General features: G+C 40.6%; 1 protein-coding gene and 1 long non-coding RNA gene across 10 annotated transcripts in view, besides 1 other annotated feature; one reads left to right on the top strand and one right to left on the bottom strand.

Annotated features, from left to right (window-relative positions):
- ANKRD45 (ankyrin repeat domain 45) overlaps positions 1 to 27145 on the top strand; it is a 106850-nt gene that overhangs the window by 19988 nt on the left and 59717 nt on the right. For 3 of the 8 annotated variants that reach the window (XM_017001123.2, XM_047419195.1, XM_047419206.1), the window contains one exon: positions 18807 to 18924. In XM_017001123.2, the coding sequence (XP_016856612.1) occupies positions 18880 to 18924 (45 nt within the window). In that variant the 5' untranslated portion in view covers positions 18807 to 18879. Of the gene's footprint in view, positions 1 to 18806; positions 18925 to 25346; positions 26128 to 26790; positions 27075 to 27145 lie in introns of those variants that run through there. The other 5 variants (XM_047419198.1, XM_024446627.2, NR_158771.1 and 2 more) reach the window with 3 other exon arrangements.
- LOC105371619 (uncharacterized) overlaps positions 13489 to 27145 on the bottom strand; it is a 44005-nt gene continuing 30348 nt past the window's right edge. For both annotated transcript variants that reach the window (XR_007066737.1, XR_922291.4), the window contains 2 exons: positions 23864 to 23964; positions 13489 to 13592 (listed from right to left, as the gene is read on the bottom strand). This is a non-coding gene — a long non-coding RNA (uncharacterized LOC105371619). The remainder of the gene's footprint in view (positions 13593 to 23863; positions 23965 to 27145) is intronic.
- Positions 23719 to 24302: a transcriptional cis regulatory region, noted in NCBI's record as "candidate enhancer chr1.9913 targeted for multiplex CRISPR interference". NCBI's record gives its function as "positively regulates ANKRD45 gene expression in K562 cells {active_cell/tissue: K562}" and the evidence as "EXISTENCE:mutant phenotype evidence [ECO:0000015][PMID:30612741]".

Genomic DNA, 27145 nt, shown 5'->3' with positions numbered 1-27145 from the left:
TTAAAAAAGAAAGCATTTAAAATACCATACATTGCTTAGGAATACACATTAACGTGACAAAATTATAATAGCATGATTGAAGAATATACACATGATATAAGGATGATAGTGATTTTGTTAACATAGGTAGGAAGGGCCAGAGAACTGAAAATGACAATAAAATTTCTCAATTTTACCAGTAATATTTCATTCATATTATTAAAATGATTTGAAAAATATTACAACTAATAAATGTCTTTTAAATTCAGATGTTCAGTTATATTAGAATCTGTTGTTTTCTGTGTAATTGAAAAATTTCCTAATAAAAATAATACAAGAGAAGTAGACAATTCATTGGACATCTAGAACTCCCTCCTTAAATTCCATGGTTATGGAAAACCAAATACTGCAGGTTCGCACTTGTAAGTGGGAGCTAAGCTGTGGGTACACAAAGGCATACAAAATGGTATAATGGACATTGGAGACCCTGAAGGGGGAAGAGTGGGTAGGAGGTGAGGGATGCAAAACTGTGTATTGGGTACAATGTACACTATTCAAGTGACAAGTATCCTAAAATTCCAGATTCACCACTATACAATTCATCCATGTAACCAAAAACCACACATACCTCTAAAGCTATTGAAATAATAATAATAATAATAATAATAATAATAATAATAATAAACTTCTTAAGTTTCATGGTTAAAAGTCAAGAAAACACTACCTTCCATCTGGTTTATAAAAATTGAAATTCTGGCCAGGCACAGTGATTCACGCTTGTAATCCCAGCACTTTGGGAGACTGAGGCGGGTGGATCATCTGAGGTCAGGAATTTGAGACCAACTGACCAATATGGTGAAACCCTGTCTCTACTAAAACTACAAAAGTTAGCTTGGTGTCCGTGGCATGCACCTGTAGTCCCAGCTACTTGGGAGGCTGAGGCAGGAGAATTGCTTGAACCCGGGAGGCGGAGGTTGCAGTGAGCCAAGATCATGCCACTGCACTCCAGCCTGGGTGACAGAGTGAGACTCTGTCTCAAAAAGAAAAAAAAAATTGAAATCCTACGTATTGAGCACCTAGTCTACACTTGGCCCTTGAAATTATTGTCTGCTATACATAGCTACCTCTGAGAAATAGTGCCTTAGACAGTGCTATTTCCCTGGGATACTCCTCCTTTCCCGCTCCAACCATAACTTATTTGCCAATGGGCAGAAATCTAACCCAGTGGCAGCCCTTTTCTAGCCAGCAACCTATGGCATAGATGCCTTCACTCAAAGCAGATAAGTTAAACCAGCCAGATTGCTCTTCCAGTAATTTGGTATTAAAAATAAAAGTTACTGATGGGCAGTGGACTGTGAGGTTTTATAGATGTGGGGGCTAAGGAAATTTATGCCTAGCAGACCAGTAATCAGAAGAAATCAATGAGCAAAGAAAAAGCTAGAGAACAGAGTCCTTCTGAGGACTGGGTGCACTTAACCTCTTATTTTGGAATTCTGTGACATCTCTTTATATCCATATAATTGGTCCTACTTCACTCTCTCTTTATTTGAACTGCATTTGGTAGTTCTATTTTCTTGGATATGTTTTTATTCTATGTTGTCCACATCCTTTAGATAGAAGAAAGTATATCATTACATAGGTGAAAATGAGATGTTGATGGTTGATGGTCTCACAACTAATGAGCATTGAAGCCATGATTTAATCTGGCTTTAAAGCTGTGTTCTGGATTAAATGCAAGTGGTTATGCATTTGCCAGCATGAATATGCATGCATATTTATCCATGTCTATAACCAGTGCTTGTTTTCCATCTGGATGAATAGGGAGATAGATGGATAGAGAGATAGAAAGAATAACAAAGAATAACATAACAAAATAGAATAGTGCTACAAATGGGGAAATTAACAAGAAATTCTTTTTTTTTTTGAGGTGGAGTCTTGCTGTTGTCACCTGGGCTGAAGTGCAATGGCATGATCTCAGCTCACTGCAACCTCTCAGGTTCCAGCTATTCTCCTGCCTCAGCCTCCCAAGTAGCTGAGATTACAGGCACTTGCCACCATGCCTGGCTAATTTTTGTATTTTTAGTAGAGATGGAGTTTCACCATTGTTGGCCAGGCTGGTGTCAAGCTCCTGACCTCTGTTGATCCACCCCCCCGGCCCCCCATCCCTTGGCCTCCCAAAGTACTGGGATTACAGGTGTGAGCCACCATGACCGGCCAAGAAATTCATATTTTTAACGTTAAAATATAAGAACAGAACCACAAAGCCAGGGCTGTCACTATCATGTTGTATTGTCTTGCCTGGGTTGGATTAGGGTGAACGTGGTTTCACACAGATGAACAAGGAGAAGAGTGATGCTGCCTGGTGAAATAATCACTGATTCCCCAGAAAACCTGAGAGAAAGAGCTCAGGTGGGTAATGCCCTGTTTAACCCTCATGTTCCAGGCCCTGACTCATTTGCCACTTCTTAACTTTCACTAGAAGCACATGTTAAACACTCAGATATAGTGGTAATGATTTTTTATTCATGTTTTAGTAAAAGCATTGCTTCTCACTGTTTATGTTTTTGAAATGAAGCAGCATCAGTTCTCAGAAACACAGCCTTCTGATTGTCAGCATCATCTTCCCTGTGTCAAAGTGTGAAAGGAAAATATCTTGGGCCCCCAAAATCACTAAGCTAAAGGGAAAAGTCAAGCTGGGAACTGCTTAGGGCAAATCTGCCTCCCATTCTATTCAAAGTCACCCCTCTGCTCACTGAGATAAATGCATATCTCATTGCCTCCTTTGGAGAGATTAATCAGAAACTCAAAAGAATGCAACAATTTGTCTCTTACCTACCTATGACCTGGAAGCTCCCTCCCCACTTTGAGTTGTCCCACCTTTCCAGACGGAACCAATGTTCATCTTACATATGTTGATTAATGTCTCATGTCTCCCTAAAATGTATAAAACCAAACTGTGCTCTGACCACTGTTAGATATGAATTCTAAATTTATTTTCAAAGAATTAATATGTCAGTATGTTCAATTCTTTGCCTTCTACTTTTAAACTTCCTTTTAAACTTTCTACTTTTAAACTTCACTTCCTTGTAAAGCAACTTTTTTCGACTACCTACTCCACCCTAACTCATTCTGATCATCTGCTCCACCCTAACTCATTCCAATCAGCTGCTCCACACTAACTCATTCTGATTACCTGCTACCTGCTCGACCCTGACTTCTGCCAAAGCACTCACCCCATCATTCTCTTTAAATTAGCCAATCAGTATTAGTTTAGCCCATGCAGTCTAATCCTCGCCAATAGGGGAATAACACAGCAGCAGGGGCCATGTGCGTCAAGGATAAGAACTCCTTCCCCTCCCTTGTCCAAGTGTGCGCTCACCATTGCTCCATCTGTAAGGGTGCACACTTCATTTTTGTTTTGTTTTGTTTTTTGAGACGGAGTCTCTCTCTGTCGCCCAGGCTGGAGTGCAGTGGCGTGATCTCAGCTCACTGCAAGCTCTGTCTTCCGGGTTCTTGCCATTCTCCTGCCTCAGCCTCCCAAGTAGCTGGGACTACAAGGCACCCACCACCAAGCCTGGCTAATTTTTTTGTATTTTTAGTAGAGACGGGGTTTCACCGTGTTAGCCAGGATGGTCTCGATCTCCTGACCTCGTGATCCACCCATCTTGGCCTCCCAAAGTGCTGGGATTACAGGCGTGAGCCACCAGGGCACATCTTTCTACAGAAGTACCTGGCCTTGCTGAGAGTTAAAAATAAAATTTTATATTTGAGTGCTATTTCTTTTGCAGCACTGAAACTTTATATGTAACAATTTGGGGGCTCGCCTGTGATTACATTTCCCTCTGGGGACGGTCTCTGGTTCACTCTCGTGAGGAGGTGTGCCCCGCCCCCTTCTGGCGGCCTCAGGGGTGAGAAATCAAGACCCACCCAGTGCGAGGAATAACCTGAGCTCTCAGCAACACAGAAAAAACCAAACCAAAACAAAAAACTGGCCAGCAACCTAGCTTAAAGGATCCTCACATACTGCAGCAATGACTCTGGGCATGGACCAAGGAAGGAGAAGCCGTGGGAGCCAGTAAAGTATTTCCCTGGTGGTCAGGACCAAGGTAAGAAAGCCGTGGGGGGTGGGGCAGTGAAGTACTCCTTGGTTGGGGTGGCTTAGAGGTTAAAAAGAGGTGAGACATCCCCACTGGGGGGGATTGAACCTCACACAAACCTCCATAGTAGAAAAGGTGAGAAATTTCCCATGGAGGAAATTGAGCCTCACCCCAAAAGGCAAGAAATTTCCAGTGGGGAAATTGAGCCCCACCCCAAAAGGCAAAAATCCCAGTGGGGAAATTGAGGCTTACCCCAAAAGGTGAGAAATTTCCAGTAGGGGAAATTGAACCTTGAACCTTACCCCAAAACCATCAAGATGGGAAATACCCCAAGCAAGACAGGGAGTAAGGGGGATAAAGATGGTAACGAAGATATTCCACTGTATAGCCCCCTAGGTCTCATGCGAAAACACTGGAAAGATAATGAGAGGACTAAACATAGGAAAAAGCAACAAATGTTAAAATATTGCTGTTTTATTTGGACTCAGGGACCCATCCTCAATACCTCAATCTTCTGGCCAAAGTTTGGGTAGAATGAGTATGTAATGTGTCAGTTTCTAATCTGATATGTTAATGATAAAAGTCCAGTATCTCAAGAAGAACTAGGCTATGCCCTTTGTTGGAGGCAAGGACCTGCCCTCCTTTTTCCCTTAAAAACAAATAGGGAAGAACCAAATCTGGCACCTCAAAATGAAAAGTCAGAGGAGCCAGCTCTCATGCCTAAAGATTCCAGCACGTGGGATCCCCTAGAGTATCTTCCCCCACTCAGTGTCCCCGATCTTTCCCCTCAAACAGCCACTGCTGCCTCAGATCCCATTCCAAATTCCCCCTCTACTCACATTATCCCTCCTCCTTATAACCCTGACTCTTGGGAATTACTGTGCCACCAGCCTGTTCCCTCCCAACCTAAAGACCCCTCTCTAAAAGGACTCCAGCATGAGGTAGAACAATGTAAAAAAGATATTTAGAATTTCCCAGTTCCTTCTGTACCTAAGAGGTCAGCCCCGACCCTCTTCCCTTTGAAAGAGGTACCACAAGGGAGGTCGGGGGGGGGGGGGGCGGGGGGCAGGCATTGGCTTTGTAAGTCTGAAATTTTAAAAAGGAGCTTAAACTGCCACTAGATGACCCTTATGGAGTGGCAGACCAAATTGACCAATTCTTAGGACCTCAGTTATACACTTGGGTCGAGTTACTGTCCATCTTGGGCATCCTCTTTTCAGAGGAAGAAAGGAGTATGATTTGTAGGGCTGCTATGGTAGTTCAGGAATGTGAGCACCCTCCTGATGAAAACATTCCTACCACAGGCCAGAAATTCTCCACCCGAGACCCCCAGTGGGACAATAACAACGCAGATCACCGGGAAAATATGCAGAATGTAAGGGAGATAATAATAAAAGGAATTTGGGAATAAGTACCCTGAACTCGAAATCTTTCTAAAGCACTTGATATACAACAGGAAAAGGACGAAGGGCCTATGAGATTCCTAGACAGACTGAGGGAGCAAATGAGGCAATGTGCAGGCCTCAATTTGGATGATCCCCTTGGGCAAGGAATGTTGAAACTCCAATTTGTCACTAAAAGTTGGCCAGATATTTCAAAAAAGTTACAAAAATAGACAATTGGGAAGACCGTCCTCTAAGTGAGCTTCTCAGGGAAGCTCAGAAAGTATACATGAAAAGGGATGAAGAAAAAGAGAAAAAAAAAGACAAAACTTATGTTTTCCACCTTCCAACAGATGGCTCCAAACCCAGGTACGTCTAGACAGAGCTTCCAGGGAGCCAGAAACTATAAAGGGTCCGAACCCTCTTTTAAATGACCCCAGCCTCTATCTGGAGGACCAAGGTCCTCATCTACCAGGCCCCCTAAAGAGTATGGGGGAGCAGGGTTAAAGAATCCCAGAACTAAGAGGGAGGAAGGACAAGATAGGTGCTATAGATGTGGAAAAACAGGCCACTTCAAGAGAGGATGTCCTGAACTAAGAAAGGAGAAAGAAGCCCTTCCACTCATGACTTTAGAGGAAGAGTAGGGGGGTCAGGGGCTCTGTCTTTTTTATATTGAGTCCCAGCAGGAGCCCTTGATAAATTTGGAGGTGGGCCCTAAACATGAGCTTATCACCTTTTTAGTCGATTCAGGCGCTGCTTGCTCCTCTGTTTGTTCCCCCCAACCCCCCGTCTAATGTTGTCTCCTCCTCAGAGGAACTTTTAGTTTCCGAGGTAAAAGGGGAAGGAGAGGGGAGAACAGCATAAGCAGCTGGCACAGGCAGGGAAAGACCAGCAGAAAGGGGAGAGAGAGAGAGACAGAGAGGAAAGAGGCAGAAAGAGAGAGAGAGACAGAGAGGAAAGAGGCAGAAAGAGAGAGAGGAAAGAGGCAGAAAGAGAGAGAGGAAAGAGGCAGAAAGAGAGAGAGGAAAGAGGCAGAAAGAGAGAGAGGAAAGAGGCAGAAAGAGAGAGAGGAAAGAGGCAGAAAGAGAGAGAGGAAAGAGGCAGAAAGAGGAAGAGGCGGAGAGAGAGAGAGAGGAAGAGGCAGAGAGAGAGAGAGGAAGCGGCAGAGAGAGAGAGAGGAAGAGGCAGAGAGGGAGAGAGAGGGAGAGAGAGGAAGAGGCAAAGAGGAAGAGGCAGAGAGAGGAAGAGGCAGAGAGAGAGAGGAAGAGGTAGAGAGAGGAAGAGGTAGAGGAAGAGGCAGAGAGAGAGAGGAAGAGGCAGAGAGAGAGGAAGAGGCAGAGAGAGGAAGAGGCAGAGAGAGAGAGGAAGAGGCAGAGAGAGAGAGAGGGAGTCAGAGAGAGAAAGAGGGAGTCAGAGAGAGAAAGAGAGACAGAAAGTCAGAGAGAAAGAAAGATGTAGTAAAGAAAAAACAGTGTACCCTATTCCTTTAAAAACCAGGGTAAATTAAAAACCCATAATTGGTAATTGAAGGTCTTCTCTGTGACCCTGTAACACTCCAATACCACCTTGTTGTCAGTGTAAACAAGGGCATAGCCCGAAAGCACTGAGGACACTGACAACCCGTACCCTTCCTATCAAAAATCCTTAACCCAATAACCCGTAGATGGCCCAAATACATTCAATCTGTAGCGACAACTGCTTTGCTAACAGAAGAAAGTATGAGGCAATTCTGTTAAAAAAAAAAAAAAAAAAAGATTCAACATTAACCACTAAAAATTCCCTTAACCCAGCAGGTTTCCTAGCAGGGGATCTAAATCTTAATTACTACACAAAGGTCCGACCAGACCTAGGAGGAACTCCCTTCAGGACAGGATGATAGATGTTTCCTCCCAGGTGATTGAGGGAAGAAGACACAATCGGTATTCAGTAAGTGATAAGGAAACTCTTGTAGAAGCAGAGTTAGGAAAATTACCTAATAATTGGTCTGCTCAAATGTGCGAGCTGTTTGCACTCAGCCAAGCCTCAAAATACAGAACCAGGAAGGAACCATCTGTACAAATTCTAAGTTAATTTGGACTAAAAACAAGGTCGTATTAATAATAAAGAATAATTGAAATCCCAAACTTACAAGGTTTTCAGCAAAAGTAAAGTTTGCTAAAAGTTAACATGTATTATCCTAACTTCTAATCTTGTGGCCTTAGACAGTCTAGTCCACAGACATGAAGGAAGTTTGCTTTGGAAAAGAATAGTTATCTTCAGAGAAGAAAAAAGGGGTGGGGGGGGGGTAGAATTTATATAAAAAGGGATGTTATATGGTAAATTCTTGTCCTAAAATAAATTAACTGGTTGTTTAAATAAAAGGGATGTTTGTGACAAGTCAGAAAGTTGAGGCGTGTCAAAGAATTGTCTGTGAAAGTCAGGAAAAAAAATTATAAAAGGGAATTTATGCAAGAAATGTTGTATAATTTAAAAGTAATTAGGCCTCCTGAATGTAAAACTATTGAAGAAACAGTTTATGTGCAAGGTGTGTAAGGAAAGTAAAATATACTTTTGGTAAAAGGATTATAAGGATGCATAAGAATGTGGATTTTTACCTACATTAAAAGGTTAAAAAGTATATATTTTGTTTTAAAGGTTTAAGCAAGTTTTAAAACATTAATTGTAAAGGAAATTCTGTGTGTAAACATATTGGCTAAAGTTAAGGGGGTGTCATCCAGTTTTTCTGTGAACTGGACATTAAAAGCACAACAGGTTTTTCTTAAAGCACTAACCTGCTCTGTAACAAAAATTATAAAAGGTTAAAAAAAGTCTATAAAAATCTTACCTTCTGGTCAGACATTAAAAATTGGATAAATATGTCTACAAGGTTGTATTAAAATTAAGTTTAACATTAATAACACACTAATATAAAGGTGAAATTTAGCTTATCTGGTATAAAAATCATACAGGAAGCATTGTCAAATATAAAATGGCATTTGGCTTTCTTTGGTCTAAAAACTAATAAAAATAGGTGCTAAAGGAAATTTCTCAGTAAGAAGGCACCAAGGACTATAAAGTCCACTGCTGATGTCTCCACATTTAAAACAAAAGGTCAATTTCTTAGAAATTATATACTTGGTTTATCCTTCACTTTCCTTTCCCTCAAAACTAAGTCTTTTAGCACAGGTACCACCCCAAGATTTTTTGGTAAACCAGCACCAGCCTGAGGATCATGTTCTCATCAAAGGGTGGAAAGAAGGAAAACTCAAACCAGCATAGGAATGACTCTAACTTGTGCTGCTAACCACCAAGACTGCTGTTCGTACAGCAGGAAGGGGATGGACTCATCACACCCAAGTCAAGAAAGCACCATCCCCTCTAGAGTCGTGGGCCATAGTCCCAGGGGAAAACCCTACCAAACTAAAGCTAAGAAAAATTTAACTTTAAATTTTCATCTATCCTATTACTCTTTCTTCTTATCTCATTCTATTGCTGACCATCTAGTTATTAACATAACCAAGTCAATTTTGCCTCGAACTATTGCATTTAATGTTTGCCTTGTTATGCCCTGTAGGGATTTGCCAAGTCAAAGATGGCTCCCTACTTCAGAAAAGTACCTCTGTCCCTCCTGACTCTCCTCAGGCTGGACATTAGTGAATTGGGACCATTTAATCCGGGGAGATTTCAATAAAGACCCCAGTGTCAATCAGGAGTCTTGCTCCCTGATGTAGAGCTTTTATGCTGTAGTTGGTCCAACATTCTGTGGACCACTAAAGAGCAAGAATGGACTGCCCCAACCGGTTTTTGTAATTTCCTAAAACCATACATTCATTTTATTAAAGGAACAGCCCTCCCCCGCTAACTGTCAGCTAAACCAGTGTAATTCTATACAGGTCATTATCTGAAATCCTCAAAGTTCTTCCCCTTTTCTAAGCCGGTTCCCTTCTTTAAGCTGGTTTTATGGTATGGGGGCTGAGGTTTCAGGGACAAACCCTATTAGATTCTTTGAAATGCATTTATTTGATCCCCCACCCCCTGCAACTTCCTCTAAGCCTTCTTCCAAAACCTCTCACAATGGAAAAATTGCTCCTCCTCCATCTAACAACAAGACCAAGATAGCTATAGCTATCATAGGAGTTAGACTTAAAACAAACTTTGGCAATTAGGATACCAAGATGCAAATGCCTGGTTGGAATGGATCAAATATTCCCTCCACACATTAAACAAAAGCAATTGTTATGCTTGTGTGCATGGTAGGCCAGAGGCCCAGATTGTCCCCTTACCACTAGGGTGGTCCTCCAGTTGACCAGGCATGGGCTTTATGGTAGCTCTTTTCCAGGATTCTACAGCCTGGAGTAATAAGTCATGCCAAGCTCTCTCTCTGCTATATCCTGAAGTCCGGCACCCTGTGGGTCAGCCCCCGAGGGCATCCAGCTTCCATCTCCCAATACAAAGTTCACTTTGTGTCTCTCATGACAGGGAGGAAACTTAGTATTCCTTGGAGACCTGAAGGGATGCAGTGAGCTTAAGAATTTTCAAGAGCTTATCAATCAGTCAGCCCTTGTTCATCCCCGAGTGGATGTGTGGTGGTATTGTGGTGGATCTTTACTGGACACTCTCCCAAATAACTGGAGTGGCACTTGTGCTTTAGTCCAATTGGCTATCCCTTTCACTCTGGCATTTTATCAACCAGAGGAAGGAAAAATAAAACATCGTAAAGCAAGAGAAGCCTCTTATAGGTCTTTTGACTCTCACATCTATTTAGACACAATTAAAGTCCCACAGGGAATACCAGATCAATTTAAAGCCCAAAATCAAATAGCTGCAGGATTCAAGTCAATATTTTGGTAGGTGACAATTAATAAAAATGTAGATTGGATAAACTACATCTACAACCAACGGTGATCTATTAACTACACTAGAGATGCTGTTAAAGGAATACCTGAACAATTAGGGGCTACTAGCCAGATGGCTTGGGAAAATAGGATAGCCTTAAACATGATATTAGCAGAAAGCGGAGGAGTTTGCCTCATGATTAAAACTCAATGTTGCACCTTCATCCCAAACAACATCACCCTTAATGGAAGTATAACAAAGGCATTGCAAGGTCTAACTTCTCTGTCCAATGAGTTAGCCAACAACTCAGGGGTAAATGATCACTTTTACAGAATGGCTAGAAAAGTGGTTTGGTAAATGGAAAAGAATAATAGCCTCAATTCTTACTTCCCTCACAGCTGTAATGGGTGTACTTATTCTTGTCAGGTGCTATGTCACACCATGCATCTGTGGGTTGGTGCAGAGGCTCATTGAAACAGCACTTAATTAAAATATCCCTTAACTATCCTCTACCTTACCCAGAGAAGCTTCTTCTTTTGGAAAATCAAGCAAAGCAACTAAGGCAAGACATGTTAAAAAAAAGTTTGAAAAGACAGCTGTAAGGAAATACAAGGGGAGGGGTTGTTAGGTATGAGTTCTAAATTTCTTTTCAAATAATTAATATGTCAGTATGTTCAATCCTTTGCCTTCTACTTTTAAATTTAACTTCCTCATAAAGCAACCTTTTTTGATTACCTACTCCACCCTGTCTCATTCTGATTACCTACTCCACCCTAACTCATTCGGATCAGCTGCTCCACCCTAACTCATTCCGATCAGCTGCTCCACCCTAACTCATTCTGATTACCTGCTACCTGCTCTGCCCTGACTTCTGCCAAAGCACTCACCCCATCATTCTCTTTAAATTAGCCAATTGGAATTAGTTTAGCCCATGCGGTCTAACCCTAGCCAATAGGGGAATGACACAGCAGGAAGGGCCACATGTGTCAGGGATAAGAACCCTTCCCCTCCCTTGTTCAAGTGTGCGCTCACCATTGCTCCATCTGTAAGGGCACACCCTTCTATAGAAGTACCTGGTCTTGCTGAGAATTCAAAAGAAAATTTTATATTTGAGTGCTGTTTCTTCTGCAGCACTGAAACTTTATATATAACACCGCCCTGGGCACGTGTCATCAGGACCTCCTGAGGCTGTGTCACAGGTGCATCCTCAACCTTTTCAAAATAAACTTTCTAAATTAACTGAGACCTGTCTCAGATTTTTGGGGTTCACATCTTGGTAACCACAAAGGGATTCTGACTGGAGGTGCTGCTGACCTTTGACAAATCAATGCTTGGTACCAGCATGAGCTATCTTAATGGTTCAAATGGATAGGACAATTTGCTGAGGCCTGGAAACACCCCCTCCAGAGAATCTCTGATCTCCCCAAATTTGTTCGAGATCTAAAGTTTATTTTGCTATACAACTCTTTTTGTTGTTGTTGTTGTTGTTGTTTTGGAGTTTTACTTGCTTTCAGCACAAGGAAGGCAAGTTTTTTTCTGCTTCCATGATGATGGAGATAGGTAACTCCTTTATGGAGTTTGAGCTCACTTCCAACAGGGAAGATGAATTTTTTTTTCCTGCTGTTAGGATGGTAGAGAGCAGCCTTCAGCCTGAGACCCATCTTTAGGTAAGTAACTGTAAGTAACTTGGCTAAAGTTAAGATTAACAACCAGCTGGTCTTAATTTCACCTTACCATTAGAGTGCTCAGTAATCATATAAGTTGTGTGATCATTTGTTTTGCCTAACTGTTTTTTGTTGTTTGTTTCTGTTTTTGTTGTTTTGGTCTTTTTCTCATTGGGTTTGATCAACTCCATCTGAACTTGATCAAATCCGAAGGGAAGTTCCAAATTATGGGGAACAAGGCCTCTGTAGTGGCTAAATTCCCACACAAAAAAAGCTGGTGTGGTGAGGGGAGAAAAATGGCCCGAAAAAGAAAAAAAAAGAGAGAGGCAAGATTTTTTATTTTGACTACTAAAAGGGCCTTATTTACATAACAAGCCTACCTTTTTGCTAGCCAGGCCAAACTGAAAGAGCAATGGCTGTACTTCTGAAATAGCAGCAATTTGTCCTAGTTGAAATATGGTAACGAGATTTAAAAAGACTTTTTTTAAAAGGAGCTCAATAGTTAAAGTCAGCTTAATTAGAAGCTAACATCCAAGATGTGTGTGTGTGTGTGTGTGTGTGTGTGTGTGTGTGTGTATTTAAAAGGCCTTCGTGGTTTTTTCCCTCTCCTAGAACCTCGTCCTTTTTCTTTTTATTTGAGCAAAAGCTTTTTTTTCTTCTCAGTTGGCTAAATTCTTTTTTCTTCATTTACTTCTGCTGCCTCTCCTTTCTCTTGCACCCTCTGCTGCATAAGAGACCTAAAATAGTTTATGATAGCCTGGAGTTCCTTAAAGAAAATGAAGGTGCCAGACTCCTTTTGGGGGAGAAACCTGTTTTTCCTTATGGAACTCCAAGAGTGTAAACAGACAAGTTTGTCTCAACCCTTAAACTGCTTGCTTTTGTATTATGTTACCTGATTTGCTGACTTAAGTAGTTATTGCAACAGAGTTTACTCTTGGGTTTTTAAAGAAGAATGTAGTTTAGACATTTAGAAATGTCTTTGTTTAAAAAAAATTTTTTTAAGTACACTGTAAAAAGATCATGTGGTCTAGCCTCATAATAATTCTCCCTTTTTGGAAACCCAGGATTCAGTGTAGGCTCAGCCCAGAGCTCAGAGATGCAGTTAAAAGATAAGTAGTCCCTATTTAAATAAAATTGGTCTCCTTATACAATCTATGATAGGTTTTTATAATTTTATGTTTGATTTGACATAGCCATTTTTTTTTTTTTTTTGAGACAGAGTCTCACTCTGTTGCCAGGCTGGAGTGCAGTGGTACGATCTTGGCTCACTACTATCTCTGCTTCCTGGGTTCAAGTGATTCTCCTGCCTCAGCCTCCCAAGTAGCTGGGACTATAGGTGCGTGCCACCATGCCCAGCTAATTTTTGTATTTTTAGTAGAGACGGGGTTTCACCATGTTGGCCAGGATGGTCTTGATCTCTTGACCTCGTGATCCTCCCACCTCAGCCTCCCAAAGTGCTAGGATTACAGGTATGAGCCACCATGCCTGGCCTTGACATCCATCTTTAATCTTCCATTAGCATACCAGACTTTTCCTCTCCTTACCTTCTGATGTAAATTTTTCTATTTGATTTTCACCTTTATTTCCTTTAGTATGCAAATTTAAGGCTATGTAGCTGACAACTGCCTAGGATTGTGAAACAGGTTATCAAGAATCTGAGAAAGACAGGAAAAACAAAAGGTTTTTATGAATCTATAAGATGTACTTCTATCGGCATGCCTAATACGTCTATGTATTTATGTGTCGTGTACACAATGTTTCACTACTGAAAATATACAAAAGAGCTCTAATCGGCTTAAGAAAATAAAAGCAGTTAAATAAAATACTTTATCAAGAAAAAAGAAAAGACTAGTCAAATGCTTTAAGTTACATAACTTCAGTAAAATCTTAAATAAGCTAGCTTTAAAATTATTCATAAAGTAATATTAGAAATGTCTATCATGTTGTCTAAGGGAAATTATAATGGTTTTTCTAGAGATTGAGTTTGATATAAAAAACACACATACACTAAATAACTGAATAGAACAGTAAAATTTTCTTAAGGGATTGATTTAATAAATTATATGATATTCTAATTTTTTTAAAACCCAAAGTTCAACTTTTATCACATCTCACCTTTTTTTTAAAAAAATTATACTTTAACTTCTGGGGTACACGTGCAGAATGTGGAGGTTTGTTACATAGGTATATATGTGCCATGGTGGTTTGCTGTACCCATCAACCCGTCATCTACATTAGGTATTTCTCCTAATGCTATCCCTTCCCTATCTCCCCCACCCCGCCTCCCCCCCACCCACCATCAGGCCCTGGTGTGTGATGTTGCCCTCCCTGTGTCCATGTGTTCTCATTGTTCAACTCTCACTTATGAATGAGAACATGAGGTGTTTGGTTTTCTGTTTTTGTGTTAGCTGAGAATGATGGTTTCCAGCTTCATGCATGTCCCTGCAAAGAACGTGAATTCATCCTTTTTTTATGGCTGCATAGTATTCCATGGTGTATATGTGCCGTATTTTCTTTTCCAGTCTATTAGTGGTGGGCATTTGGGTTGGTTTCAAGCCTTTGTTATTGTGAACAGTGCTGTAGTAAACATACATATGCATGTGCCTTTATTTTTTATTTATTATATTTCAAGTTCTGGGGTACATGTGCAGAATGTGCAGTTTCATTACATAGTTATACACATGCCATAGTGGTTTGCTGCACCCATCAACCTGTCACCCCCAAACAAGCCCCAGTGTATGATGTTCCCCTCTCTGTGTCCATGTGTTCTCATTGTTCAACTCCCACTTATGAGTGAGAGCACGCGGTGTTTGGTTTTCTGTTCTTGTGTTAGTTTGCTGAGAATGATGGTTTCCAGCTTCATCCATGTCCCTGCCAAGGACGTGGACTCATCCTTTTTTATGACTGCATAGTATTCCATGGTGTATGTGAGCCACATTTTCTTTATCCAGTCTATCAGTGATGGACGTTGGAGTTGGTTCCAAGTCTTTGCTATTGTGAATAGTGCCACAATAAACACACGTGTGCATGTGTCTTTATAGTAGAATGATTTATAATCCTTTGGTTGTATACCCAGTAATGGGATTGCTGGGTCAAATGACATTTCTAGTTCTAGATCCTTGAGGAATTGCCACACTGTCTTCCGCAATGGTTGAACTAATTTGCACTCCCACCAACAGTGTAAAAGCATTCTTATTTCTCCACATCCTCTCCAGCATCTGTTGCTTCCTGACTTTTTAATGATCGCCATTCTAACTGGTGCGAGACAGTATCTCCTTTTGGTTTTGATTTGCAGTTCCCTAATGACCAGTGATGATGAGCATTTTTTCATATGTTTGCTGGCTGCATAAATGTCTTCTTTTGAAAAGTGTCTGTTCATATCCTTCACCCACTGATGGGGTTGTTTTGCTTTTTTCTTGTAAATTTAAGTTCTTTGTAGGTTCTGGATATCAGCCCTTTGTCAGATGGACAGATTGCAAAAATTTTCTCCCATTCTGTAAGTTGCCTGTTCACTCTGATGATAGTTTCTTTTGCTGTGCAGAAGCTCTTTAGTTTAATTAGATCCCATTTGTCTATTTTGGCTTTCGTTGCCATTGCTTTTGGTGTTTTAGTCATGAAGTCTTTGTCCATGCCCATGTCCTGAATGGTATTGCCTAGGTTTTCTTCTAGGGTTTTTATGGTTTTAGTCTTACATTTAAGTCTTAATCCATCTTGAGTTAATTTTTGCATAAGGTGTAAGGAAGGGATCCAGTTTCAGCTTTCTGCATATGGCTAGCCAGTTTTCCCAACACCGTTTATTAAATAAGGGATCCTTTCCCCATTTCTTGTTTTTGTCAGGTTTGTCAAAGATCAGATGGTTGTAGATGTGTGGTGTTATTTCTGAGGCCTCTGTTCTGTTCCATTGGTCTATATATCTGTTCTGGTACCAGTACCATGCTGTTTTGCTTACTGTAGCCTTGTAGTATAGTTTGAAGTCAGGTAGCATGATGCTTCCAGCTTTGTTCTTTTTGCTTAGGACTGTCTTGGCTATGTGGGCTGTTTTTTGGTTCCATATGAACTTTAAAGTAGTTTTTTCCAATTCTGTGAAGAAAGTCAATGGTAGCTTGATGGGGATAGCATTGAATCTATAAATTACTTTGGGCAGTATGGCCATTTTCACGATATTGATTCTTTCTATCTATGAGCATGGAATGTTTTTCCATTTGTTTGTGTCCTCTTATTTTGTTGAGCAGTGGTTTGTAGTTCTCCTTGAAGAGGTCCTTCACACCTGTTGTAATTTTGATTCCTACGTATTTTATTTTCTTTGTAGCAATAGTGAATGCAAGTTCACTCATGATTTGGCTCTCTGTTATTGATGTATAGAAATGCTTGTGATTTTTGCACATTGACTTTGTATCCTGAGACTTTGCTGAAGTTGCTTATCAGGTTAAGGAGATTTGGGGCTGATATAGTTGGGTTTTCTAAATATACAATCATGTCATCTGCAAACAGAGACAATTTGACTCCCTCTTTTTCTAATTGAATACACTTTATTTCTTTCTCTTGCCTGATTGCCCTGGCCAGAACTTCCAATACTATGTTGAAATGGTGTGTGCCAGTTTTGTCTTGCACCAGTTTTCAAAGGGAATGCTTCCAGTTTTTGACCATTCAGTATGATATTGGCTGTAGGTTTGTCATAAATAGCTCTTATTATTTTGAGATACCTTCCATCAACACCTAGTTTATTGAGAGTTTTTAGCATAAAGTGCTGTTGAATTTTGTTGCATGCCATTTTTATCTCTATTGAGATAATCATGTGGGTTTTGTCATTGGTTCTGTTTATGTGATGGATTCTGTTTAATGATTTGCGTATGTTGAACCAGGCTTGCATCCCAGGGATAAAGCTGACTTGATCATGGTAGATAAGCTTTCTGATGTGCTGCTTCATTCGCTTTGCCAGTACTTTATTGAGGATTTTTGCATCGATGTTCATCAGGGATATTGGCCTAAAATTTTCTTTTTTTGTTTTGTCTCTGCCAGGTTTTTGTATCAGGATGATGCTCATAAAATGAGTTAGGGAGGATTCTATTTTCTATTGTTTGGAATAGTTTCAGAAGGAATGGTACCAGTTCCTCTTTGTACGTCTGGTAGTATTTGACTGTGAATCTGTGTTGTCCTGGACTTTTTTTGGTTTCACCATTTTTGTTTTTTTCTCCCCCTTTAAAAGGTATGAAATAATAAAGCTCTCTTTCAACTCATGTTCAGCTCAGTTAAGTTATTTTTCCCCACAGTTCTGTTTGTTGTGGCCTGGTGCTAACAATATTTTCTTAAAGGTCTAAAGGAAATGTTTTCTTCCAACATAATATCCTGTACACTGCAGAAGGTCTTTTCTTTTGCCTTTTGGTAACTGGCCTCACAGATTTTACGTCTTATTGAAATAATTCCTATGCCATTATTATTAAGTTTTACTTTGCTTAGGAAAAAAACCTGATAATTGTTTTTTTTTAAAATTAAGGTTATTACATCCGTGTATCTTTCTGTATGTGCTTTTAAAGTACTTGTAACACTAAGTTACAGGGATTTGACTCCTGGGTCTAAAATGGACACAAAGCCCTGCTAAGTCTTAAACACTGACAGCAGTTAAATCCTCATCTTCAGGCCCCATAGAGGATGCCAATCAAAATAAACTGCATTCCTGAGACAGAGGGCCAGAAATTAACACCATTCAACTCCTCAAGGTCCAGGGACTATTGAGGAAGAGGTGGGTGTGTGAGATTGTAAGGGCCCATTTTAAGACATAAAATAAGTACAGTTTCTCTATAAATTAACCATTAATATCAATGGCACACTGATGCAAGACCAGCATATGAGCCCCTGTGTCAGATTAATATGGTTTGTTTTTTAAGCATTAACCAAAACATTAATAAAGATTATAAAAGGCTTATGGAAGTTATAGCTTATGATCAAGATTAAAATTTTATATATTTATAAAAATTTGAAAAACAAATTTAATTGACTTCATGTTGTTTTTATTAGGGTTTATTGTTTGGAAAATTGTTTCCTCTCTCAAAATAAAAGTTTTGCACCTTTTTTTTTTTAAAATCCTTCAGTTATCACTTTGGTTAAATGAATGACTTATTTTACAATGACCTGTGATCCTATTTTGTAATATCAAGTGTTTTAAAGTTTTGATATTTGACAAACTTTCCAAAATCAAATTATAAATTATGTCTTTTTCTGACCTAATTAATCCTTTAAGATATTCCCGGTTCCTTAAAGTCCAAAAATGACATATTTGGCTTATTTGGTATAAAAATTATATAGGAAGCATTGTCAAACATGAAATGGTGTTTGGTTTTCTTTGGGCTGTATTTGTATAAAGATGTTATTGGCATGTGTTCAAAAATTATGGGAAACTCCTATAATTCTTTTTTTTTTTTTTTTTTTGAGATGGAGTCTCACCCTGTCACCCAGGTGGAAAACTCCTATAATTCTAATATGAATTAGTGTATGTTATCAGTAATAATTATAATTTTTATGGTAAATTATTGTGTGCCATAAGGTAACAAATTTCCTTGTCAATTGTATCTTTATGGCTGCCCTAAAACTTTTTGTCATCCATGAATGATTGTTGTCTTATTTTGGTCCTCTTTAAAAGGTGGTTTTATAATCAGCTATAAACTCTAACAGGTGCCCTTGAATGCAGGTTTCTGATTACTTTGGAGATTGTAACATTTGAACAGAGGAAAAACTTTCAGGACTCATGAAGAGCTGAAATGTTTATGACTATCAAGCAGAACAGGAATTAACCGCAGGGACTAAACTAATAGAAGTTTAAAGTAATCTTTTTAACTTTTTGTTTAAAACGTTGCTGATCCTTTGTTTTTCAGAGTCAAGAAAACTTTTAAGCTATTTACAGCTTTTAACAGTTAAGTGTACTCCTATGAACAAAAGTTGGAGCATATGTGTTTCTGTCTACCTGATTTCTACAGAATTTGGAAACTATTTGTGAGTATTCTTATGACAATACAATTATTTGCATAAGTGCAATAAGAATCTTTCTTCATTTTTAACAGGACACAATTGGAGAAACTGGTTATTTTACCAAGGCTTTGACTAAAATGGTGTGCTTTCATTTAAGGAATCAAACTTGACTTATGGAGCCAATAAAAGCCCCTTGGAAAAATTGGCCTCGTACCTTTTTCTACACAGTCCCTTTACAGGGTTCCTGACCTGTGGTAGGTAAAGAATGTCACTTTCTGACAGACCCAAGAGCCCCAAGTTTATCTTGGAACATTGAGAGGAGAGGAATTCACAACTCATAGGTATTTGATGGTACAAATCCATGGCTGGGCTTGGCTTTAAAAAAGTCATATCTGAGATTCCTTCTATGGACTAAAGTTCCATCAAAGCCAATTTAAATGCCTATGTAAAATAAAATTATTCTTGATACATTGTATACAAATAATCAGGTGAAGTGTAATAAAGCAAATCAGTCTTACCATGATTTGTCTTTAATAAAAATGGGAAACTGGATAAAGAAAAATTATGTTTAAAAAACTATAGTACACCCGTTGTTAGATTCTAGTCTTGCCTATTGTTTTTCAATTTTTATTATTTTCTACAGTTTGGACTGAATTCTAATTCTATTTTTTCTTTTTTCTTTTTGAGACAGAGTCTCCCTCTGTTCCCCAGGCTGGAGTGTAGTCACATGATCTTGGCTCACAGCAACCTCTACCCCCTGGGTTCAAGCAATTCTCCTGCCTCAGCCTCCTAAGTAGCTGGGATTACAGGCACCTGCCAGCATGCCTAGCTAGTTTTTTGTATGTTTAGTAGATACGGGGTTTTGCCATGTTGGCCAAGCTGGTCTCAGACTCCTGACCTCAGGTGATCCACCTGCCTCGGCCTCCCAAAGTGCTGGGATTACAGACATGAGCCACCGTGACTGGCCTGAATTCTAATTTTTCTTGGCTACATGCCTGCAAAATAATGTTTTCAATTTTTTTTCCTTCTTTTTTCTCCATTTTTCCTAATTTGGAGTCACTGAAAACTAAGCTATACTTTTTTTTAAAGCCCTGCGAACTGAAGCTAAATAACTTAAACTTTAGAGGAAAATAATAGCAACCTATTTACGTACATAAGCCACTTTCATACCTGCCTACTAATATATGGACTTCAGAGCAATATGGCCTATATTGATTTTCCAGGATCGTTCTTTTGTTTGTTGTTGTTTTTCCTCCTTCCTTCCCTTATTTTCTCTTCATAGGACATAAGACTTTACAACCTTCTAAAAATGAGCTTTCCTAATAACTTGGGACCTACCAGTCTAGGAATAAACCATCCTAGCCATAAGAGATCAGACAAAACCTGAGACCAGAGACTCATTTCTTTTAATATGCTTTCTCCAAAAAATTTTTAAAAAGTGGGGAAATGTGAAAAGAAAATGTCTTGGGTCCCTAAAATCACTAAGCTAAAGGGAAAAGTCAAGCTGGGAACTGCTTAGGGCAAATCTGCCTCCCATTCTATTCAAAGTCACCCCTCTGCTCACTGAGATAAATGCATATCTGATTGCCTCCTTTGGAGAGACTAATCAGAATGCAACCATTTGTCTCTTATGTATCTGTGACCTGGAAGCACCCCCTACTTCTAACCCCCCTGCTTCGAGTTGTCCCACCTTTCCAGACTGAACCAATGTTCATCTCACATATGCTGATTAATGTCTCATGTCTTCTTAAAACGTATAAAACCAAACTGCTCTAACCACCTTGGGGACTGCTCTAACCACCTTGGGCACATGTTATCAGGACCTCCTGAGGCTGTGTCATGGGCGTGCATCCTCAACTTTGGCAAAATAAACTTTCCAAATCAACTGATACCTGTCTCAGATTTTTGAGGTTCACAAAAGCATGGTGAATGTGGAAAAAAAAAAAGCCAAAAATATCCCCATCCCAAAAGAACCATGAAGGTGGGCCGAGTGCAGTGGCTCGTGCCTGTAATCCCAGCCCTTTGGGAGGCTGAGGCAGGAGGATCACTTAAGGCTAAGAGTTGGAAACCAGCCTGGGCAACATGGCAAAACCCTGTCTCTACAAAAAATACAAAAAAAAATTAGCTGGGCATGGTGGTGGGTGCCTGTAGTCCCAGCTATTTGGGAGGCTGAGGTGGCAGGATCACCTAAGCCTGGGGAGAATGAGGCTACAGTGGGCCGTGATCACACCACTGCACTCCAGCCTGGGTGACAGAGTAAGATGCTATATCTAGAAAAAGAAAAGAAAGGTTCCCTCACAGAAAATGGGAGTTCACTAACCAGAAAAGGAGGGACCAGCAGGTGAAAACCATGGGTGTTCACTATTTCATTCTCCTCAACTGTAGAGATTAGCTACATGGAGAAATAATTCTTTAGTTACACACCAGGGGAGTGGCTTTAATATTATCTAATTATTGCCAGAAAGACTCAAGGCAAATTATTTTGAAATAAAGTTGTTATTTTTGGCAGATTTTCTCTAATATTTAATTAGCATATAGCTAACAAGTAGCAGTCCTCTGGTGTTTTAAACCAGACTGACCTAGGTACAAATCCTGGTTTGGCCCTATTAGCTGTGTGGTCTTAGGTAGGTGACTCAACCTTCTGAAGTGTCGGTTTCAAGAATAATATCACTTTCTTATAGCAACTTATAGAGTTGCTATAAGGATTAGAGATAATTTATATGAATCACTTAACACAGTACTCAGCATATAATAGGCTTTCAAACAACAAGATGTAGCACATTAAGTTACCTTGGAGTAAATTTTTCAACTAGTTGATCCAGGTTTTTCATCAGAAATTGACATTGTACAACGGACATGACTCAGTCTATGAAGTATAGAAATATGGCAGGGTGTGGTGGTTCATGCCTGTAATCCTAGCACTTTGGGAAGCCAAGGCGGGTGGATCACCTGATATCATGAGTTCGAGACCAGCCTGCCCAACATGGTGTAACCCCATCTCTACTAAAAAATTACAAAAATTAGCAAGGCGTGGTGATGTGTGCCTGTAATCCCAGCTACTTGGGAGGCTGAGGCCGGAGAATCACTTGAACCCAAGAGGCGGAGGTTGCAGTGAGCCGAGATGACACCACTGCACTCCAGCCTGGGTGACAGAAGAAGACTCCATCTCAAAAAAAAAAAAAAAAAGTATAGAAATGTAGTTTTTTATACAATAATTTCTATTCTGAGGGCCTATTCTCTTATGTTGGAAAAAACTAGTTTCAATAGTTTTGGAAACCTCTCACCTACCATAATTTTCTGGAGGGGATCTAATTTCTGGGGGGTTTGAATAGTGCTTAATCATTTGCTGCTTAAGCTGTCTGTTCACCAGGCCTTCACTGTCTTATCTGGACCTCCATCATTAATACCCACAGGTTATTGCTGAGATGTGTCTTACACATGGGCACTCGGCCCCTTCAAATCCAGTGGCTCTTTCCAATACTCTCAGGTCAAGCTTGCAGGGGGTGTGGCTAAGAGAGGGTGTCATGGGAGTCTTTCTGCTGCATCTAGGCCACACTCTTGCCATGAATCTCCTGTCTGTTTCTAACCTGGTCTGCCTAGGTGCATCACGCAGCTGTTTCTGACCTGGAGTTCAAGTGGAGCTCACGGCATCTTTGCTTTTAGGTCTCAAACCTATTGTGTCTTACTACCTTTCTAATATTAGCATTCAGAGCACTAAAAAATAATCTTTAAAAGTTCTATTTAATTTTTAGTTGTTTAATTCCACTTCAGACATTCAAGAAACAGTTCTATTTGGGAATTCTTCATATCCCCTGAAGATTAATGAAAAACAGAATCATGTACAGTTTTGTACAGTTATGCATCATAAGTCATCTTCCATCCAGATATTAAAAAACAAAGACTATGAAAAATAGCATGTTAAAACTGAAATGCCTAAAATTAGCCTTGCTCTTCATCACCTTCAGTAAGAAATGATTGTTGAGTAGAGCAAATGTGTTGTATAGTGACTGCAGGAGCAAGCTTCCAACTGACAGATTATTGTTCCTCTCTATAATGTAAAACTCTAAAATTTTGATTACCACAACTTATTTGAACATGAAAAATTAATAATTACATTTGAAAAAATTCAAATTTATTCTTGTATTTCAAAAGTTCAGATTTATGATGGTGTTACTGGTGGTGAATCTGTATGGGTCTGCAGCCGCCTTAATTCTTGCCTCAGAAGAAAGAATCTGAGGGGCATTAGGCAGAAGAAGAGACCGAGGCAAGTTTTAGAGCAGGAGTGTAAGTTTATTAAAAAGCTTTTGGGCAGGAATGAAAGGAAGTAATGTACACTTGGAAAGGGCCAAGTGGGTGACTTTGAGAGATCAAGTCCAGTTTGACTTTTGACTTAGGGTTTCTTTTTTTTTTTTTTTTGAGACGGAGTCTTGCTCTGTCACCCATGCTGGAGGGCAGTGGTGCGATCTCGGCTCACTGTAACCTCCGCCTCCCGGGTTTACGTGATTCTCCTGCCTCATCCTCCCAAGGAGCTGGGACTACAGGCGCATACCACCACGCCTGGCTAATTTTTTTTTTTTTTTTGGTATTTTTTAGTAGAGACGGGGTTTCACTGTGTTAGCCAGGATGGTCTTGGTCTCCTGACTTCATGATCCGCCCGCCTTGGCCTCCCAAAATGCTGGGATTACAGGCATGAGCCACCGTGCCCGGCCTTAGGGTTTTATATGGTGGCATACTTCTAGGGTCTTGCGTCCCTTCTCCCCTGATTCTTCTCTTGGGATGGGCTATCCACATGTGCAGTGGCCTGCTAGCACTTGGGAGAGGAGCACGTGCAGTGTGTTTACTGCAGTTCTATGCATGACACTTGAGGCATTCTTCTCTTACCAATTGAATGTACCCAAGAAGGTCATATACCAGTTAAACTCCACCATTTTGACTCTTAATGTGTATCCTTGAGCCCACTCACCTGTAAGAAGTACTTTTTAAGTGGTCCATTTTTCAGAAAACAGGCCCCGGCAAATCCAGGCAGCTCCCTTGCAGATGTGACAAGCCGCATGCTACAGACATCTGGGAAGAGTGATAAGACTCACAGAAGTCAGAGGGGAGGGAGAAAAAAAAATAGGGGGTGGGGTGGCTAATCCATAAAAGGAAAGAAAGTTTTGTCATTGGGAAATCAAAACTTAAAGTGGGGAAGGAGACAAGATGTAACCTTATAAGGGGATAATGAAACTTAGGCAACGTTGGGGAAGACTGTAACCCCATAGTACTCAGCCTATGAGGAACCAGGGTAGGGACTTGCACACTAGGTGATAAATTCCTTGTTGAAACTGCACTGGGTGTTCCTGCTCACCAGACACCCGATCTTGCAAGACCGTTATTAAAAAGTGTCTCTTTTGCTGTTCTTCATGCCTCTAAGTCCATTCTTTGGGTTTGGACAGGTGAGTGTGTTTCTCACATCACCTAACTCCTGAGCTCTTATGGGGAAGCTGCTGATAACCAGTTTCAGATGTTTTCTATCTATTCGGAGAGTGCCTTTTCCTGGCATTGGCTGCAACCAATTATTATTTTAGAGAGACAGTTAACAACTGCCTATCACCTGATGGTCGCCTGACATTCCTGGTGGGGGATAGGGGAGCCTGCTCTGCTCATGCCTGACTACCTACTGTAACAATGGTGAAATTTTGCTTGGGCCTTAGGTCAAATATTCATTTCAGAACTAGGCTATTCGAACTTCAGCACAGATGTTCAGAGCCCCTCTAAAACATTCACTTACTCCTTAGTGGACTCTTGGTAGAAACAGTAAAGAAATGAATATTTTCCTTCACACCTGCCTTCAGCACAAAAACTTCCCTGTTTTCACTGTGTGATTCATGTGAACATTGATATAATTGCTAGGTATGCCTGGCCCTTCCCTGCTGGTTTCTTTCGAACCCCTTGTCCCTCCACCTCCATCGCTTCCCCCCTTTTAAAGTTGTGTTTTGCATCTTGAATTTCTGAATCAAGAGGGATATAGTCTCCAAGTTTCTTCTGCTCCTAAGGTAGTTGGCACTTGTGAGGTCGCCTGAAACACTCCTTGCTGGTGACAATGACCATAAACCATGGGAGAAAGATATCCAATAACTAGAAAATTAAGCAAGGGGTTATTCATACAATCTTTTGTAGTTTTTAGAATGCAACCTCATATTTCCAGAAAATTCTTTCGTTTAAAAGCCAAAGACAGGCCAACAACCAATATGCACAACTTATTTTTAAACTGTAAAACAAATACCTTATTACAGAAAATTTACAAAACAAAGAAAAAACCGACACGCCACCCAGAGACTGAAATTATAGATAATTCCTGGCTGTTTTCCACTCTGGCTTCCTGCGCCTTTGCAACCAAGAATAACCTTCCCGCGCTGCCGGAACCGCGGCGCAGGAGGAGGCGCTGCCTCGCGTGTTGCGCCGTTGCTATGGTAACCGAGGAGGCCGGGGCCCGGGTGTGGTGAGTCTAGGGGTCCTGGCGCTGTGGGCCGGGGTGGGCACTTGGGGAGGAGTGCGATGGGGTAGACGGACATCTTCCCTCCAGGCTGCTCGGGCAGGGCTGGAGGGGAGTGGGCTTCAATCTCAGCGTCCTCACACTGCTTCTGTCCAGAGCTTTGCGCACCGGTCTCCTACCCCGCCGGCAGCCGCAAGGGATCGCAGAAGGTCCCTAGGGAATTCAGGCCGAAGAGCAAACTCTGGTGCCCTGAAGTGTCCGTTGCCCCCTCGCGGGACCTCCTGGATCACCTGGCGGCGCTGCCACTTTCTGTATCCTGTTCCTCAGGCCTTCTCTTTGTTTAACTCTGTGTGCCCAGGGTTGCCCTTGGGGTCCTTCTCCTTGAGCTGGGACTTGATTAAGCGACTACTTTTTTTTTTTTTTTGAAGAAAAAAATCAGTTGGCTTAAAAGGCACATTAGGATCTACTCCTCTATCACAACTTCAGGCTGCGTCGCCTGCCTCCTTGCCCTTTGTTTATGCTCTTCCCGTTACCTGGATTGTCCTTTTTTCCTCCTTTTAAGACTCCTACTCTTCACTATCGAGGTTTCACCTCTTCTGGGAAAACTTTCTGAGACCGCCACCCAGAATTGAATGTAGATGTCCACGGTTTTACTTTCAAAGCACTCTACCTACCTCCATTGAATCCCTGATCTCACTCTGTCATTGCTGATTTACTTGTGTCTTCCCTACCAAAATGTGAGAGCCTATGGGGTAGGTGCTATGACCTATGTGATTTTCTATTGTGGGTGGCTCGAAAGCAATCACATTCTATAGTTAAAAAGAAAAGTTTATAGATTTTTCTACACTTATTTAGTAAGGCAGACCAGGTGCTATCCTCATTTCAGAAAAGTCACATAATTAGTAACAGAATCAAGACTAAAGCAATGCCATTCTGCCTTCATAGTTCCAGCCTTCCCTCTTCCCTCCAATGCTCATATTCTCTGTGAAACTTCAGTTATATGTAGCAAGGTTACAATTTTGATGTATGTTATTACTTTTGTGGGCAAAGAAAATGTAATTTATTTTTGTATATGACTGATCTGGTTCCTTTCATGAGCATTTACTTATTGATTATTAGGAAAGAATCTAAATGTCCGATTGGTTTTAAAGTTTAGCTCAATCTAGAATTGATTTCTTTGGCTAGTGTTTAATTTCTCTTATATACAAATATTTAGGTTATCAGGTATCTTCTTGGATTCTTTCCTTGAGATGGTGCCCTGGCTATGTGGATGGCTCACGGAATCAGTTATGGGGACGGGTCAGGGTCCCTTTGCCTTCCCTTGGCTCTGGGGGGTGATGTTCCTGGTATACCGAGTGCTCCCTGCCCTATGGCTTTCTTGGTTTTAACCTTTGGCTTATATACCTTGTGAACAGGTATCTCCTGGTTTTGTCAGGACTCGGTTGAGCTCCCTGGCTCACTCAATTGCGCTGAGTTCCTGCTGTGACTTCCCTTCAGCCCTGACTGGAGTGGTTTGCACCACAGCCCTCCCTCCCTGCAAAGCCTCCTTGCCCTGCTATAGCAATTGAGTAGGGCAAGCATCCTGCAAGACTTTCCTATTTCTAGGTCTCATGTATATCCTAAGGCAGTGCTCTCAAACTTTGTTGTCTCAGGACTCCATTTTACTCTTAAGAAATGATCCCGAAGAGCTTTCCTTTATGTGAGTTATGTCTTTTAATATAGTATTACATATGTTGTAAGAATTAGAAATTAAACTGAGGATTTAAAAAA

Source organism: Homo sapiens, chromosome 1 (assembly GCF_000001405.40).
Source record: "Homo sapiens chromosome 1, GRCh38.p14 Primary Assembly".
Taxonomy (NCBI): domain Eukaryota; kingdom Metazoa; phylum Chordata; class Mammalia; order Primates; family Hominidae; genus Homo; species Homo sapiens.
This window is presented reverse-complemented; position numbering and strand designations above follow the sequence as displayed.